Source organism: Homo sapiens, chromosome 8 (genome assembly GCF_000001405.40).
Source record: "Homo sapiens chromosome 8, GRCh38.p14 Primary Assembly".
In the NCBI taxonomy this organism is placed as follows: domain Eukaryota; kingdom Metazoa; phylum Chordata; class Mammalia; order Primates; family Hominidae; genus Homo; species Homo sapiens.
The window spans coordinates 66,798,653-66,815,778 of NC_000008.11; the positions used below are offsets into that span (position 1 = coordinate 66,798,653).

Consider the following 17,126-nt stretch of genomic DNA (forward strand, 5'->3'; position numbering starts at 1 on the left):
TTAAAAGAAAGCACCCGAGAAAACCCAAAATAAGAGAGATGTATTTGAATGATTAAATTGATACTCATATGTTAATATGTCAGACAGGCAGACAAAGGTAAGAGATTCTTCAAAAACATCCTAACTTTGGAATGCTTTCAAAGAAAGGGTAGAGAGAGGACTGCTGAACAATTCCAAATAAACCATTAAAAATATGAGAACTAGATAAAATACCTTTTAATGTCATAGAAAATTATAAGTCAGTTCTTTCTACCTACCTCTCTGATAATTGTTAATCATCATGGTATTTCTGGTTAAATTGCCTACTGTAAGCTTTATGTTTGAAAGTCTGTCATGAACCTATCTCCCTTCCATACTTTGTTTCCATTCTTAGAGATATGTCTTAGGTTCCAGATTTTAAGTAGCTAACACAATTGAAATGAGTGTTGACTTTTAGAGTTCTGACAGCTACCTAGGTGGTAAGATCTAAGAGACCATTAGCTATTTAAATTACTACAACCTGTTTTTATATTTTCATAACTCAGATATTAAATAGAATTCATAATCTACTGATGGCAGTACATACAGTACATACTTGCTAAAGTAGGCAGCAAAGAGCCAGGCACGATGGTTCACATCTGTAATTCCAGCACTTTGAGAGGCTGAGGCAGAAGGAACATTTGAGCCTAGGAGTTGAGAGGGTACCAGTGAGCATGATTGCCCCACTGCACTGCCATCTGGGCAATATAGCAAGACACCATCTAAAAAAATAAAGGCAGCAAGACCACCACAGTCACTATAATACCATATCTTCCACAGGTAGCAGTGTTTGTGGATAGTGTTGCCTTGAAGATCATACGTAGAAGCTAAAGCATGCCTCTTGAGTTACTAATAGCTATTATGGAACTCCAGGTCATTAAGACAGTCCTGGATTTAAAGCTTTGCTTCAGTTAAGAACAAAAGCAATTGTGCCTCAAATCCCCAATGTATTTATTTATTTATTTATTTGAGAGAGGGTCTTGCGCTGTCACCCAGGCTGGAGTGCAGTGGCACGATCTTGGCTCACTGCAACCTCTGCCTCCCATGTTCAAGTGATTCTCGTGCCTCAGTCTCTCAAGTAGCTGGGATTACAGGCGTGAGCTACCACGCCTGGCTAGTGTTTTTGTAGTTTTAGTAGAGACGGGGTTTTGCCATGTTGGCGAGGCTGGTCTCAAACTCCTGGCCTCATGTGATCCGCCCACCTCGGCCTCCTAATGTGCTAAGATTACAGGCATGAGCCACTGCCCTTGGCCTCAAATCCCAAATTGAAATTCCTCTGCTCTCATGTAATAGTAAATAGGGATCTCCCAGTGTCATTGTTTAATGAATGGTAGATTACTAGGCATCCTCTGGAAAAACTCTTGTTATATATTTAAGAAGGGAATTTTGGGCCAGGCACGGTGGCTCACACCTGTAATCCCAGCACTTTGGGAGGCTGAGGCGAGTGGATCAGAAGGTCAGGAGATCGAGACCATCCTGGCTAACATGGTGAAACCCCGTCTCTACTAAAAATACAAAAAATTAGCCAGGCGTGGTGGTGGGCGCCTGTAGTCCCAGCTACTTGGGAGGCTGAGGCAGGAGAATGGCGTGAACCCGGGAGGCAGAGGTTGCAGTGAGCCGAGATTGTGCCACTGCACTCCAGCCTGGGTGACGGAGCGAGACTCTCTCTCAAAAAAAAAAAAGTGGCGGGGGGGGAGTTTTTTCATTTCTTTTTTTTTTTTTTTTTTTATTATACTTTAAGTTTTAGGGTACATGTGCACAACGTGCAGGTTTGTTACATATGTATACATGTGCCATGTTTGTCTCTTGATTTTAAACATAGGAATAAATATATGCCTGTGGGTTATTATTTGTAAGATATTTTTGAATATGAGGAAAGTTACACATATATATCAATTAAGAGATAAATTCCTAAATGGGTCAGAATAAATCAAACAATGTCTAGCTGTACCACTTCCTGTGTTTTGTTAAGTCATGAAAATTAGATTTCTGATTCATCTTTATTTAGCATTTCACTATGTATGTATTTGTTCCTAATATTCAAATCACTTGCTACTTGAAATTGAATTTCTGAAGATAATACTACAATTTAAAAATATTTATTTTTGCCTATGTAAAATTAATAGGGAGACTCCATCTCTACAAAAAAAATAAAAATAAAAAGTTAGCTGGGTGTAGTGGCACATGCCTTATAGTTCTGGCTACTTTGGAGGCTGTGGTAGGAGGATCACTTGAGCCTGGGCGGTTGAGGCTGCAATGAGCCATGACCATGCCACTACACCCTTGAGACCCTGTCTCAAAACAAAAACAAGAACAAAACACCTATAATGTTGCTACTCAGAAATAACTGTTAACATTTTACTGTTTTCTTCTGTTCTTTAGCTTTTCTTTAATGCACACGCAACTGCACTTACTAAATACAGGTTGAGTATCCCTTATCTGAAATACTTGGAACCAGAAGTGATTTGGATTTCAAATTTTTTCAAATTTTGGAATATTTGAGTTATACTTATCAGTTAACCATCCCAAATCTGAAAATCTGAAATCTGAAACGCCCCAGTGAGCATTTCCTTTGAGCACTCAAAAAGTTATTGGTTTTGGAGCATTTCAGATTTTCAGATTTGTGATATTCAACCTGTATAGTTTTAGATATTTGCTTAATCAAAGGATATTGAGATAGGTTTTTTTTCTGTAATTAAGGTTACACTGTTGAAACAACAGCCAATGAGAGTTTGTACATGGAAATATCTTTCATAAGTTTTTAGTGATTTTTTAAAAAATGGCTTATTTTGGAGGCTGAGTTTGGGTTGCAATGTTAGCTCATTTTGAAACTCTTGAATACCCATTATTTGCATGTTCAGCATGTCTTTGAGGAGTGTGTAAATCCAACTGTACCCACCAGGATGCCTGGGTTATGCTCGGGTAAAAATGACATGACTGTAGTGTCTGTCTGTCTCTGTCTCTGTGTCTTTCTTTCCCTCTCTCTTTCTCTCTCTCTCTCACACACACACACACCCCACATACACCACATACATTTGAGACTTCTTTCTGTCTTTTGCTTAAAATATTTCATAGGCTAGATTTACCTTCTAAAGACGTCTTTTGTGAAACTCTTCATAGAGGAAGGGGTGTAGGGAATGTCATCTAAAAACTCAGCACTGTGGAGATCCACACCGGTAGTGTGTGTTCATGATGTTTTCATGATTTTAATAGCTGGTGATTAATTAAATTGTTAATATTTGAGTATCTGTAAGCATAAAAATAAAATAGGAAAACTTGTTTGGGGTACCTCCATCCATGATTACTTTCATTCTCTCTTCTGTGAAACATTCCATCTTTGGATTTTTTGTAGAAGAGTTTCCTTAACTTGTAGTTCAGTTTTTATCATTCATCTCCCTAATTTCTTTTGTATTTCTTTTCACCCTTTTTTCATTGTTCTTATTTCATCACTTTCTATGTCTCTCTCTTTTTATGTACCTCCTTCTAATTCTGCCTCCTGTGGTGAGGGGCAAAGAAAAAAATAGGAAAATAGTTATTGGTTGGATTCTTTGAAACTACAGAAATCAGGTTGAACCTGGTCTGGATTTCCCTAAGTTCAAAAACACAAATTATTTTTCTGTCCTTTTAGAATAAAAGAAAAGAAAAAAATCTCTAGGCATTTTAATTGTCAACTTCAATGTGTCCTTTATGACTAGTTTATATTTTAAACTTTTTATTATAGAAATTGTCAAACACAGGCCAGGAACAGTGGCTCACAACTAGTATCCCAGCACTTTGCAAGACTGAGGCAGGAGGATTGCTTGAGCTCAGGAGTTCAAGACCAGCCCGGGCAATGACATAATGAGACTGTCTCTACAAAAAATAAGACAACTTGCTAGGTGTGGTGGTGTGTGCCTGTGGTCCCAGCTACTCAGGGGGCTGAGGGGAGGATCACTTGAGCCCAGGAGGTCAGCACTGCATTCCAGCCTGGGTGATAGAGCAAGACACTATCTTAAGGGAAAAAAGAAAGAAAGAGAGAGGGAGAAGGGGATGGGGAGGGAAGGGGAGGGGGCGAAGGAAGGAAGGAAGGCAGGTAGGAAGGAAGAAGGAGGAAGGAAGGAAGGAAGGTTAATTATCAAACACATACAGAAGTGACATACTAGTACCAATTCAGAAAATAACATTATGTTACCATCCAGCTTCAATAATTACTGATACGTGGCCATTCCTGGTTCATCTCTATCCCTAGCCAGCCCACCAGCCCACCATAATTTTGACACAAATTTCAGACATCATATCGTTTCATCTGTAAATATTTTAGTATACATCTTTAAAAGATAAAGATTCTTAAAAACAAAACATATACACAATATCATTACCACATCTAAAAATAAATGAACAGCAGTGCCTTAATATTGGATATCCAATTAAGGTTTATGTGACTGATTGATAAGTCTGTTAAGTGTCATTTAATCACTAGGTTCCCCCTCTGCCTTTCTTTTCTTTCCTTTACACATTTTTTGTGTGTGTGTATGAAAAACAACAAGGTCATTTGTTTACGTATTTTTCAGTCTGCATTTTACTGACAGCGTGCCCCATGCTGTAAAGTGATTAGTACATTCCTCTGTTCTTTGTATTTCCTATCAGTTGGCAGTTAGAGGTGTTGTTTTTGGGTGTTTTTGTTTGTTTGTTTTTGGTGAGACAGGTTGTTGCTCTGTCACCCAGGCTGGAGTGCAGTGGCGTAATCACGGCACACTGCAACCTTGACCTCCCTGGCTCAAGTGATCCTCCCACCTCAGCCTCCCAAAGTGCTGGGATTACAGGCCTCAGTGAGCTACTGTGCTCAGCTAAGATACAGTTTTTACATGTGTGTGTGTATTTTTGACATCAAACTTATAATGAAAATATAACTCATTTTTATGACTTAACTGCCCCAAATTTAATTTCTTCAGGGCCGAGTTTTCCTTCTCTGAAGACAAGCATATCTGATAAACAAATGTATTAGAATATATATATAATTATTTTTTTTGAGACATGGTGTCTGTTGCCCAGGCTGGAGTGCAGTGGCATAATCATGGCTCCCTGCAGCCCCAACCTTCCAGGCTCAAGCAATCCTCCCACCTCAGCCTTAGGAGTAGCTGGGACCACAGGCATATGCCACCATGCCTGGCTTTTTTTTTTATTTTATTTTTTAGAGACGAAGTTTCACTTATTAGAATATCAATAAGGGGAAGGTTAGAGCAGATAGGGTATTGAAAGCAAAATTCATCTGCTTTCTTAGAAATTTATTGTCAATCTATTCATGTAGAGAAAACACCAAGATCATATCTTCTCCTAAGATAATAAATGAGTAATATGTATTTGGAACTGTAACAGCACGTTCTAGCCTTAGCACTTGCCATACATGATCTCCTTTAAAACTCACAGCAAATCTGTAAGGTCATTGTTAAAATTATCCTCATTTTATAGGCAGGAAAATGAGACGCAGATGTTGAGTATTTTATCCTAGGTCACACGATACTAGGTATTTTATTGGGACTAAAAAAGACGATTAGTTTGTGACATTTTATTGGTATAATTTATGTTATACTTTGGATGATCATAAATTCAAAAGTATGTCTTATGATGGATTTTCTTTAAAATAAGATTGTATTTGGCTTTGATGTGTGCATAACTAGAAGACTTATAAAATTAGTTCATATAATGTTATTTTTAAAAATTTTAGTTAAAAAAACAGTTTCCTGCTATGGCCCTGAAGATTCCTGCCAAGAGAATATTTGGTGATAATTTTGATCCAGGTAAGAAACAACTTCATAGGCCAGCTATGAAGTGATTGTTGAAGTTTGAAGAAGTAAATTAATGTATTCATTGCACTGTATAGCAGTGCAGGACTTTAAAAGATCTTATGCTCTGTGAAAATAATGCCGCAGGAAGGTGCTTACTGTCTACTAGGCATTGTTTTAAGTACTTCATGTGTTTTAATTCATTCGATCCTGACAACTTCGTGAGGTGGGTATTGTTGTTATCACTATTTTTATAGATAAGGAAATAAAACACAGGTTCATTAATTTGCCCAGGACCACATACAGATAGTAAAGGGCAGATGTGGAAGTTAAATTCAAGCAGTCTGACTTCTATATAAATTTATCTGTCAATGGGCTGGGCACAGTGGCTCACACCTGTAATCGAAACACTTTGGGAGGCCAAGGCAGGAGGATCACTTCAGGCCAGGAGTTTTGAGACCAGCCTGGGCAACCTCATCTCTACAAAAATTTAAAGATTAGCTGGGCATGGTGGCGTGCACCTGTAGTCCCAGCTACTCAGGAGGCTGAGGCGAGAGGATAGCTTGAGGTCAGTAGTTCAAGGCTGCAGTGAGCTGTCATCATGCCATTGCACTCCAGGCTGGGTGACAGAGCGAGACCCTATTAAAAAATTTTTTAATTGATCCTTCAGGTTAATTTGGGAAACTTTACAGACTTTAAATCAGTATCATGAAGAATATTCACTTTTGTATTCAGAAACATTAAATATATACTGTGTACATAGTAACTTGTAGGCCTCTGAATGGGATACCAAAAAGATATCCTAAGCCGGGCACGGTGGCTCACGCCTGTAATCCTAGCACTTTGGGAGGCTGAGGCAGGTGGATCACAAGGTCAGGAGATCGAGACCATCCTGGCTAAAACGGTGAAACCCCGTCTCTACTAAAACTACAAAAAATTAGCCGGGCATGATGGTGGGCGCCTGTAGTCCCAGCTACTCGGGAGGCTGAGGCAGGAGAATTGCTTGAACCCGGGAGGCAGAGGTTGCAGTGAGCTGAGATCAGCAGCACTGCACTCCAGCCTGGGCGACAGAGCGAGACTTCATCTCAAAAAAAAAAAAAAAAAAGAGAGAGGGACATCCTATTGCTTACCCTTGGGGAACCCATGGACACAGAGGGTCTCAGCATCTAGCACCTCTATGACTAAAGCTGCAGGCATGGAATTTTCCCCTAGAACCCAAGAGATTAATCCAGGTCACAGATGGCTACTTACAGGGAAACAAAAGTCTTCTTATCCACCAGAAATTCTATCAGAAAAGTCATCTATCTCTGCCACAGATGAATCCTGAATGGATTGCCCTCCTTCCCCAACTAATTTGCTTGTAACCTTGTAACTGGTTAAACTGATAATACCTCACATGTCTGTGTAAGAAAAGAAAGAGAGAGATCTTGGTCACTACTCAAGATAAAAGCTCTAAGGTCCCTTATATTGAGTGTGCTTTCTCTCTCCATCCTAACTTTATACCATTCGTTTTCCTCCCAGACCATATCACTGTGTCCTATATAATTCTGCCCACCATTAACGGACTGCTCTTTATCCTGCACCTTTTTCATATTTCTTCTACATTCTTCCTTTAATTAAAACATTTTTTCCCCAGAGGCTGCTTTGCCTATAGCCCTCTCAACTGGAGGCTTATTATTCTTTACACTTTATGAACCTCTGGTTTGGAGAATGTTCTTACTTCCCTGGTTACATACAGAGTTTTTTTTTTCTCTCTTTCTTTCTTTTTTTTCCCCCCTTGGGAGTATATAGCACATTTCATTGTAATTGCTAATCTGTCTTACAGTAGGCTGTAGATTTTCTGAAGGTGCAGACTTATGTCTTTTTTTATTGGCGAACAGTGGCAATATACTGGTTTTAAGGTATTATTTTATTACTTTAAAACTGGCAAATACTAGGTTTTAAAGTATTACTAAATATATGAACCCATTAATAAAGAGAAGCAAGAGAAAATTGAGTTGGCACAACAAAGCCAGATTATATTCTGTAGACCTGTGGCTTTTGTACTCCTGCTTTGTTTTCGCAGCGGAACACTTTTTTCCCAATTGAAATCTTACAGAGAGCAGATATGGTAGCTACGCCTGTAATCCCAGCACTTTGGGAGGCTGAGGTGGGCGGATCACTTGAGGCCAGGAGTTCAAGACCAGCCTGGCCAAAATGGTGAAACCCCGTCTTTACTAAAAATAGAAAAATTAGCCAGGCATAATGGTGCATGCCTGTAGTCCCAGCTACTCGGGAGGCTGGAGCAAGAGAATCACTTGAATCCAGGAGTCGGAGGTTGCAGGTGAGCCAAGATCGCACCATTGCACTCCAGCCTGGGCAACAGAGCAAGACTCTGTCTCGAAAAAAAAAAAAAAAAAGAAAACACAAAAGAAATCTTATGGAAATGTAATATGTGAAAAAAATTTAAATGGAGCTGCTTTATTGGTATAACAGTGAAGTATCTCCTTGGAGCACAGGTTGAAAAGCATCTTCATGGGTAGCGTGTGGGCCTTAGTGGCATTTGAGCAAGATGTGAAACTGACAGTGTGTAATTTATGGTGGGCACAGCAGAGGAGAGACTGGGAGACTTGTTAAGGGAATAGTCCAATAGCCCTGGCATTAGATAATGAGTATGGGGACTAGGGTAGAAATAGGGTTTAAAAATGAGCAATGTACAAGAACTCCTTTAATGAAAAATCTGGAATACATCTTGATGATTGCTTAGGTAACACATATAGAGAAGAGGAGAGATAATTGGAGGGTCTGCCCTGGGTGACTGAGACAATTAACTAATTAGAAGTGGCAGAAAAATATTAAGAAATCAAACTACTAGTGATAATATGAGACTTGAACTTGGGTTGGAGTTCTGTAGAGCCCTTAACTGAATCCTTAAGACAATCATTTCATCAAGGAAAGAAAGCAAAGAAGTAAAAGACTGGCAACATTGCTGCTTCATTGTTAAAGGCAAGATACCAGGCTGAATGCTCTTTGGTACTTTGTTTTGATGAATTAATTGACACTAAAAACTGATTTTTTTGAAGAGCTGTTTGTCTATCCTGCGTATATTTAATATGACTTGGCAACAGTGAAAAGGATCATATGTCACAGAGATATTAGAAAGTCCTGCATTGGGGAAATCAGATCTAAGTCAAATTCAGAAAAACAGAGATGGATAAGATGCTCATTTGGTTATACTTTGGGGATACAGGCATTCCCATATTTTTCTGGTGGAATAAAAAGTGTTACAATCCATGTTGAGGGGAGTTTGGTAGTGTTTAGAAAAACTGTGAATGCATTTTCCACTTTGGCCAAGAAATCACATTTCTAGGAATCTGTCCCTAAAATAAGCTGCATATGATATAATGTACACACAAGACTGTGTATTGTGACACAATTTTTAACAGAAAAACTGGAAACAATGAAAATATTTTTCCAGTGGAGCTAGATATAACATACTTGTAAAAAGGAACAAAAAAGCTCTTTATGTATTTTGCTATGGTGTGATCTCCAGAATATACCATTAAATGGAAAAAAAAATCACAGTGCAGCAAATGAGTTTGTATGGTGTGTATTTTTTCTGTAGGAAAAGGTATGGGGATTCAAAAGGAAATAATGGAAGAATAAATAAAAAACTAATAAAACTAGTGACTTTAAGGATGAGGGAGAGATTGGGAAAGGCAAAAGGGGTGGAAGTTAGATGCCCTTGAATGAATTTTGTTCATACCTTTGACTTTGGAACCATGTACTATTTTAAACAATTTAAAAACAAAAATAAAAATGCAATAACAAAGCAGCCTCTAACAACTGAAAATAAACTGAAGGAAAAAACCTAACTTAATTTAAGTAACTTTAAAACATGGGATTTTGACTGTATATTCTTCATGGGATATATTGCTAAGGATAAAAACAAAAACCCATGGACAAATTTTACACTGCATTCATTAGTGTTATATGGCGTTGTTATTCTGTGATTAATGTTACTGTCATGGGAACCAAGATTTTAAGCAGAAGAGGAAAGTGATACAAACAAAATCAAAGATTTTAAGTAAAAATCCTGTAATTTTTTTTTTTTTTTTTGAGATGGAGTTTCGCTCTCATTGCCCAGGCTGGAGTGCAGTGGCATGATCTTGGCTCACCACAGCCTCCACCTCCTGAGTTCAGGCGATTCTCCTGCCTCAACCTCATGAGTAGCTGGGATTATAGGATGCGCCACCACACCTGGTTAATTTTGTATTTTTAGTAGAGATGAGGTTTCTCCATGTTGGTCAGGCTGGTCTCGAACTCCTGACCTCAGGTGATCCACCCACCTTAGCCTCCCAAAGTGCTGTGATTACAGGCGTGAGCCACTGCACTCAGCAAAATCCTGTAATTTGTAACTTAATTTGGAAATATAGTTTGAAATAATTATTTATTTATTTATTTATTTATTTTTTGAGACAGAGGCTCTCCCTTGTTGCTCAGGCTGGAGTGCAGTGGCGTGATCTCGGCCCACCACAACCTCCACCTCCCCAGTTCAAGCGATTCTCCTGTCTCAGCCTCCTGAGTAGCTGGGATTACAGGCGTGTGCCACCATGCCCGGCTAATTTTGTATTTTTAGTAGAGACAGGGTTTCTCCATGTTGGTCAGGCTGGTTTTGAACTCCAACCTCAGGTGATCCACTGGCCTCAGCCTCCCAAAGTGCTGGGATTACACCACCACCACTCCTGGCTCATAATTTATTTTTTTACCTTAGTAAAAATATTTTCTAGCACTCTCTCCTGGAAATGCCTAAAAGCAATAACAAGTAGTAACCAACACCCCTAGCATTCAGATTGTGATCTCTAAATACCATTTCCCTCTCAAAGGAACCAGAGTTTGCTGAAGAAATGGTGATCCCAGATCTGGGGCAGGAAATGTACAAGATGATCTCAGGGCAGCTTGCCTGAAAGCAGGGAAGCTATTTAGGATGACTGAAGTTTGATCAAAAGAACACAGGAGCCCAGTTGTCGGGGCTTTCACTGAGCAAAGATTAGACAGAATGGTGAAAGTAATTATCATAGCAGGTTAGAGCACATCAGTATAAAGACTTTCCAATTTACTTTGCTTGTTTGGGGAAAAAAAAAACCTTATGAAATGCTGTAGAGGTTACGAGAGTAAATTTATTCGCCAAATCAATAAATTAAAAAATCAAGGATTTATCTTGCCTTTGTTGTATGAAATGTAATTTATTTGTACCAAAGAGATAATGTTGGAAAATACTTCATAGCAGAATCACAGTTCATAAATAGAAGAATCACAGAATGATAGAACTGGAAAATCCTCGTACAACTTCTGATGAATTAATAGTTCTAGGCAAAGATCATCAGTGATTTCAAGACTTTACTAGGGCAGAAGGATCTGCTTCTAAGATGGCTCACTCATATGGTTTTTGGTAGAAAGCCTCAGCTCCTTGTGAGTGGGCCTCTTCTTAAGGGGCTTTGCGTGTCCTTACACCAAGGCAGCTGGCTTCCCCAGAGTGAGGGATCCAAGAGCGCTAGCAAGGAGGAAGCCTCGGTGCCTTCTATGACTTAGTCTTGGAAGCCACATGCCATTACATCCACCATATTCCGCTCATTAGAAGGTAGTCATTAAGTCCAACCCCCGTTCAAGAGAGAAGAAGAACTAAGTTCTACCTGTTGATTGGAGGGAAATAAAAGAATTTATAGACATTATGAGATAGTGATTTCATGGCTTTACTGTTTTTTTAAAGATACTGCCATTTAGAAATACACACTGATTTATTCCCCCCACACCAAAAAAAACAAAACAAAAATCTGCCTGAGAATTGCTTTAAAATATTCCAGAAAAAAAAAAAATAAAAGGTGAGGAATGAGGATAAATGAAATTGGAATAGCAGAATGTTGATAAATTTTAAAGTAGGCGAATAAGGTTCTCACCTTTTGTGTACTTGTGAAGTTTTTCATAATAAAAAGTTAAAAATAAAGTCAGCTGGGAGCGGTGGCTCACGCCTGTAATCCCAACACTTTGGGAGGCCGAGGTGGGTGGATCGCCTGAGGTCAGGAGTTCTAGACCAGCCTGGCCAACATGCTGAAACCTCGTCTCTACTAAAAATACAAAAATTAGCCAGGCGTGGTGGCATACACCTGTAATCCCGGCTACTCTGGAGGCTGAGTCAGGAGAATCGCTTGAACCTGGGAGGTGGAGGTTGCAGTGAGCTGGAATCATGCCATTGCACTCCAGCCTAGGCAACAAGAATGAAACTCCGTCTCAACGAAAATAAATAAATAAATAAAATCATACCTGAGAAAAACATTCTGAAATTCCCTTTTTAACTTATCTCATGGTTGGTAGCCATTCTATGGGGTTTTTGCTTATCTTTTTGAGTTCTTATACTGCAGTTTAAGCCTATGTCTTCTTTTTCTTTTGTCTACTTTATTCTAGTGTTTGCCAATCTCTATAAGATACATCTTACATACTTGAAGGCTGATTTTAAGAATGATCTCTGCCTGTACTTTTTGTTAACATTTTATTATGAATTTAACGACTTTTTAATAGGATGCACCCAGAGGAAACCATACTTTTAACTTTATTTATATATATGTTTTTGAGTCAGTGTCTCTGTTGCCCAGGCTGGAGTACAGTGGTGCGATCTCAGCTCACTGCAACCTCTGCCTCCCAACTCAGGTGATCCTCCCACCTCAGCCTGCTGAGTAGCTAGGACTACAGATGTATGTCGCCACAGCTAGCTAATTTTTAAAATTTTTTTGTAGAGACATGCTCTCACTATGTTGTCCAGGCTAGTCTCAAACTCCTGGCCTCAAGTGATTCTTTTACCTAGGCCTCCCAAAACTGTGGGATTACAGACGTGAGCCACTGCACCCAGCCTTTTTAAAATTTCTAATTGAAATTTCCTTTGAATTCCAGCAGATACATTCATGTAACTTCTTCATTGGAGAGATTTTTAAAAATACATATTTCTAACTATAGTTCTTAATATATAGGCCTTATATAAATTCTTGGCACTTATCCTATACATTATAGTCTTACCTGGAATTTTTTCAGATATTTGCAAACTTAGTGTTGATCTAAAAAAGTAAGTTTGGAATTGCCCCTGAATTCTGACTGCTACTGGACTTCTTCTTATATAGGGCTTTACATAGTGATTTTGAAACTGTTTAGTCAGTAATGAAATGGCAAGCCTAGAAACACTTAGAGCAGCATGGGCTATAGCTCACTGAAGAAAGGAAATTCCTCTCTTCACACTGGCCTTCAAAAGTAAAATATATCTTCAGTAAGCATCCACAGAACAATTTAAAGCTGTTTCCATGTAGTTATTAGGTTTTCTTTGAATATCCTAAATGTAGTCATTCATTTTAGTTCTTCATATGTTACTAAATTCAGTTCTCGAGAAATAACTGTGTTTCAATTACAGTTTTTAATGTAAACTTCACATGTGCTTTGCTACCTAGTGACATTATAAATGTCCTTGGAAGAGTTTAATGAGATACCTACCTGAAATTCTTCAAGGAATTCTTAGACGAACAAGAAAAAAGTACCAAGTACATGCTTCTGGCTCCAAAAGACCAGACCTGATTTTATATTTGTTTATATTTGTATGAAGCCATACCTTACATTTAAGAAATGGAAATAAACCTGGAAATAACCCATAATTTTGGTGACAAACACTATACATTATACCTTTATTCAGTAGAAATAAGTTTACTAAACCAAAACTCATTGTCAAGTGGAATATTTTTTATGGGTTTTTATCCAGACATTTGCCGTTAGGAGACAGTTTCTCAAATCAAATGTGTTAAGTTTTTAGAGTATATTTCTTAAGAATTGGCTGGGTGCGGTGGGTCACGCCTGTAATCCCAGCACTTTGGGAGGCCGAGGCAGGCAGATCACAAGGTCAGGAGTTCAAGACCAGCCTGGCTAACATGATGAAACCCCGTCTCTACTAAAAATACAAAAATTAGCCAGGTGTGGTGGTGCGTGCCTGTAATCCCAGCTACTCGGGAGGCTGAGGCAGGAGAATCGCTTGAAACTCAGGAGGTGAAGTTTGCAGTGAGCTGAGATCGCGCCACTGCACTCCAGCCTGGGTGACAGAGCAAGACTTTGTCTCAAAGAAAAAAAAAAAAGAGGGTTTAGGATAATGGCTTTTAGACCGCCCCAACCACTAATAATAACAACAACAACAAAAGTAATAGTATCTAATGATTATTAGCTATAAATAATACTCTTAACATCTGCCAAACATGCTACTATAAACTTAGATGCATTATCTCATTTAATCCTATAACAGCATTATGAGGTATAAATATTGTTACTATCCACATTTTACAAGTAAAAATATGAGTCTTGGAAAAGTTCAAGGTTAGGAAGTAGGAAAGACAAAGATATTTGAATAAAGTTTTCTAATTCCAAGAAAAGTGTGTATTTCAAAGAAAAGAAAGGTTTGTGCTTAATATTTATTCCTAAATTGCTATTGCATGAGCTTCAATTATCAACAAACAAAACACTTCAAAAATACTGGACAGGCTGGGCACAATGGCTCATGCCTGTAATCCCAGCACTTTGGGAGGCCGAGGAGGGTGGATTGCTTGAGCCCAGGAGTTCAAGATGAGCCTGGGCAACATAGTGAGACCCTGTCTCTACAAAAAATACAAAAATTAGCCAGGCATGGTGGTGTATGCTTATAGTCCTGGCTACTTGGCAGGCTGAGGCAGGAGGGTTGCTTGAGCCCAGGATGCAGCGGTTGCAGTGAGCCTAGATCACACCACTGCACTCCAGCCTGGGCAACAGAACAAGACTCAATCTCAGACGAAAAAAGAAAAATTTTTAAAAAGAAAATACTGTACAATTACTTGTTAGGAAAGTATGCCTGTGCATTTTTTTAAGGTTTTTTGTTTGTTTGTTTTTCACAGTGGAAGTTAAACTAGAGTTTTGGCGATATTCAGTTAACCAATTAATCATTATTGCCCAGTTGCAAAGGATTTCCAGAAATCCTTATTTTTTTAAATTACCGTGATTTTCAGTCATCAGTGTCATAGTGTTAATTTTTATTCATTGTTTGGTAGTACGTGAGGAGTTGGACAAAGCAATGTGCTTCTCCAATTTTTGTAATTAGTCTATTTAGAGTCCATAATAGGCAGTTTTGAGAACTTTCTTTTTGGAGATAAATTGTCTGCTTAATTTTAATATATAACTACATATATGTAATATATAATTATATATTATAAATACAATGATTCATATATATAATTTCTAAGTATGTATTCCTTGTGTGACAAGTAGCATGAATTTAAAAATAGCTTCTTAATCAAAATTCACTATCTTGTGCTTGTCTATTATATAACTGTTGATGATAATTGCATAGTCTGACATAAATAATCCTAATAGTTTATATCTCTCTTCCAGATTTTATTAAACAAAGACGAGCAGGACTAAACGAATTCATTCAGAACCTAGTTAGGTATCCAGAACTTTATAACCAGTAAGTAATTTTTGTTGCGTTCTAAAGGGACATTAAAACTAAACCTAAGAATACTGAATAATCCTTATATAAATTTTGTTTGTTCTATGAAATGTTACTGTGCTATATATGTTTGTAAAATCTTCTTTGAGCATTTTCTCCCTGATACTCTTTCTCCCCTTTTCTCTTCATCTTAGTTATTTTCTTTTTTCCTTTTGTACTTGCATTAGTTTTATAGATTATACTTGAAATGAATTTGCATAATAAATTAAAGCATCTTGCTAATTATTTGATATTATATTTTATCTATACCTTCAAAAAGCATTTAAGTACCTGCTACTTGCATTGGGAATATAAAGCTAAGTGTCGTCCCTACCGTCCAGAGGCACAGGCTCCCAGTGTAGTGGGCAAAACAGGCATATATTAATAAACAAGTAATTGAAGCTGGATAATTTTTATGATAGAGGTGCTAGAAGATAGCAGAGAAAGGTGTAGGCATATCTTCTTGAGGAGGTAAGGAAGGCTTCCTGCAACTTAAAGGGTGTGTAATCATTCGAGAAAAAAAGAAGGCTTTCCAGGCGTAACAGGATACAGAAAGCCTGAACCGTCAGGACACTTAACATTTCATGGTGACTGGAGCTGAGTAGATTTTTGGAAAGAAGACGAGATTGAAGGAGTTGTCTGGGGTTGGGTGCACATGCCACCATTTCTGCTTCACTTGGGACAGTGTTCTGTTGACCCACATGAGGCCTCCAGTCTTTCTCAACACAATAGTCCAGCAGCCATTAAGATAAAGGCGCTTTCCCAGCCCTGTGGGTGTCTCATGCGGACAGGTTTAAACTTCTTTCTGTAGGCCAGTAGCTCCCAGCTAGGAAGATAGAGGGTTGTATCAGAAATACCTACAAAAACATTGGTAGATATATGGTTTGGCTTGTGTTTTCATTTTTGAGTCTGGTAGTTGGTTTATGAGTATTCATTACATTTATTGTGGTTTGTAATTTATGTTATAGTACTTGTATGTATAAAGTATTCTAAGAGGAAATGAAGAGGATAAAATATTTGGAGAGCTTTTCTGCAGCTCACCTATCTCTGTAAACTAAAGGTTGCCTATGGGCAATGGTGTAAATATGACACACTTTAACAGTCTTTTCGGAACCACAACATTGAAGAACTGTATTTTTGAGTAATTGTTCTAAAAATGATGATTACCATTTATATGGTTCTTTATAGCTCACAGAGGCCTTCTACTATTCTGAACAGGCCCTCTGATCTGCTTTTTAAATTTACTTAATTGAATTTACTAAATTACTAAAATGCTAAAACTGGATCTCCTCTGACAAGGTCTTCTGGTCAGAGATATGGATTTCCCCTGATGCTCCCAGGTAAGGCAAGGGTCAGGCAGGTCTCACAGCTGTGGTCACACCAGCATTAGACAGTGCAGTAAGAACAGGTATCCTCTGCCACCTCTGGCAGGTGGCAGAAGGGCATGAAATTTGGTAGGATACTTGAACTCACAGTTCCCTTGTCTAGTCTCTTCCTCAGTAAAAAGTCTTACTATTTGGCTCTTTGTTTTTATTTTCTTAAACATTATGCCTTTTCCTGGGGATATACGCTATGCTATCTTCACCTTAGACCCACCCTTCTATCTCTAATTGTTGCTGTATACATTGGAGATTACTTTGAATTGGCATATTACTGGCTTGTGTGAAATGTAATTCATGCATTCAAAGCTTGAATTTGTCTCTTCCTTTGACGAGCGGGCATGGAATAAGTATGCAATAAATGGTAGTGGTTGTTACTTCTCCTAGTATTTTAAGTTACTCAGAACCCCTAACACTATATAATATATAAAGTATTCATTCTGGATCTTG

The 17,126-nt window shown here is 38.3% G+C and overlaps 2 protein-coding genes across 4 annotated transcripts in view; both read left to right on the plus strand.

Moving 5' to 3' along the window:
* Positions 1 to 17,126, plus strand: part of C8orf44-SGK3 (C8orf44-SGK3 readthrough) — a 194,427-nt gene that overhangs the window by 131,057 nt on the left and 46,244 nt on the right. Inside the window, exons 6-7 of the mRNA NM_001204173.2 lie at positions 5,723 to 5,795; positions 15,201 to 15,276. Of these exons, the coding sequence (NP_001191102.1) occupies positions 5,723 to 5,795; positions 15,201 to 15,276 (149 nt within the window). The remainder of the gene's footprint in view (positions 1 to 5,722; positions 5,796 to 15,200; positions 15,277 to 17,126) is intronic.
* SGK3 (serum/glucocorticoid regulated kinase family member 3) overlaps positions 1 to 17,126 on the plus strand; it is a 149,242-nt gene that overhangs the window by 85,872 nt on the left and 46,244 nt on the right. For all 3 annotated transcript variants that reach the window (NM_001033578.3, NM_013257.5, NM_170709.3), the window contains exons 4-5: positions 5,723 to 5,795; positions 15,201 to 15,276. In NM_001033578.3, coding sequence (NP_001028750.1) covers positions 5,723 to 5,795; positions 15,201 to 15,276 — 149 coding nt within the window. The remainder of the gene's footprint in view (positions 1 to 5,722; positions 5,796 to 15,200; positions 15,277 to 17,126) is intronic.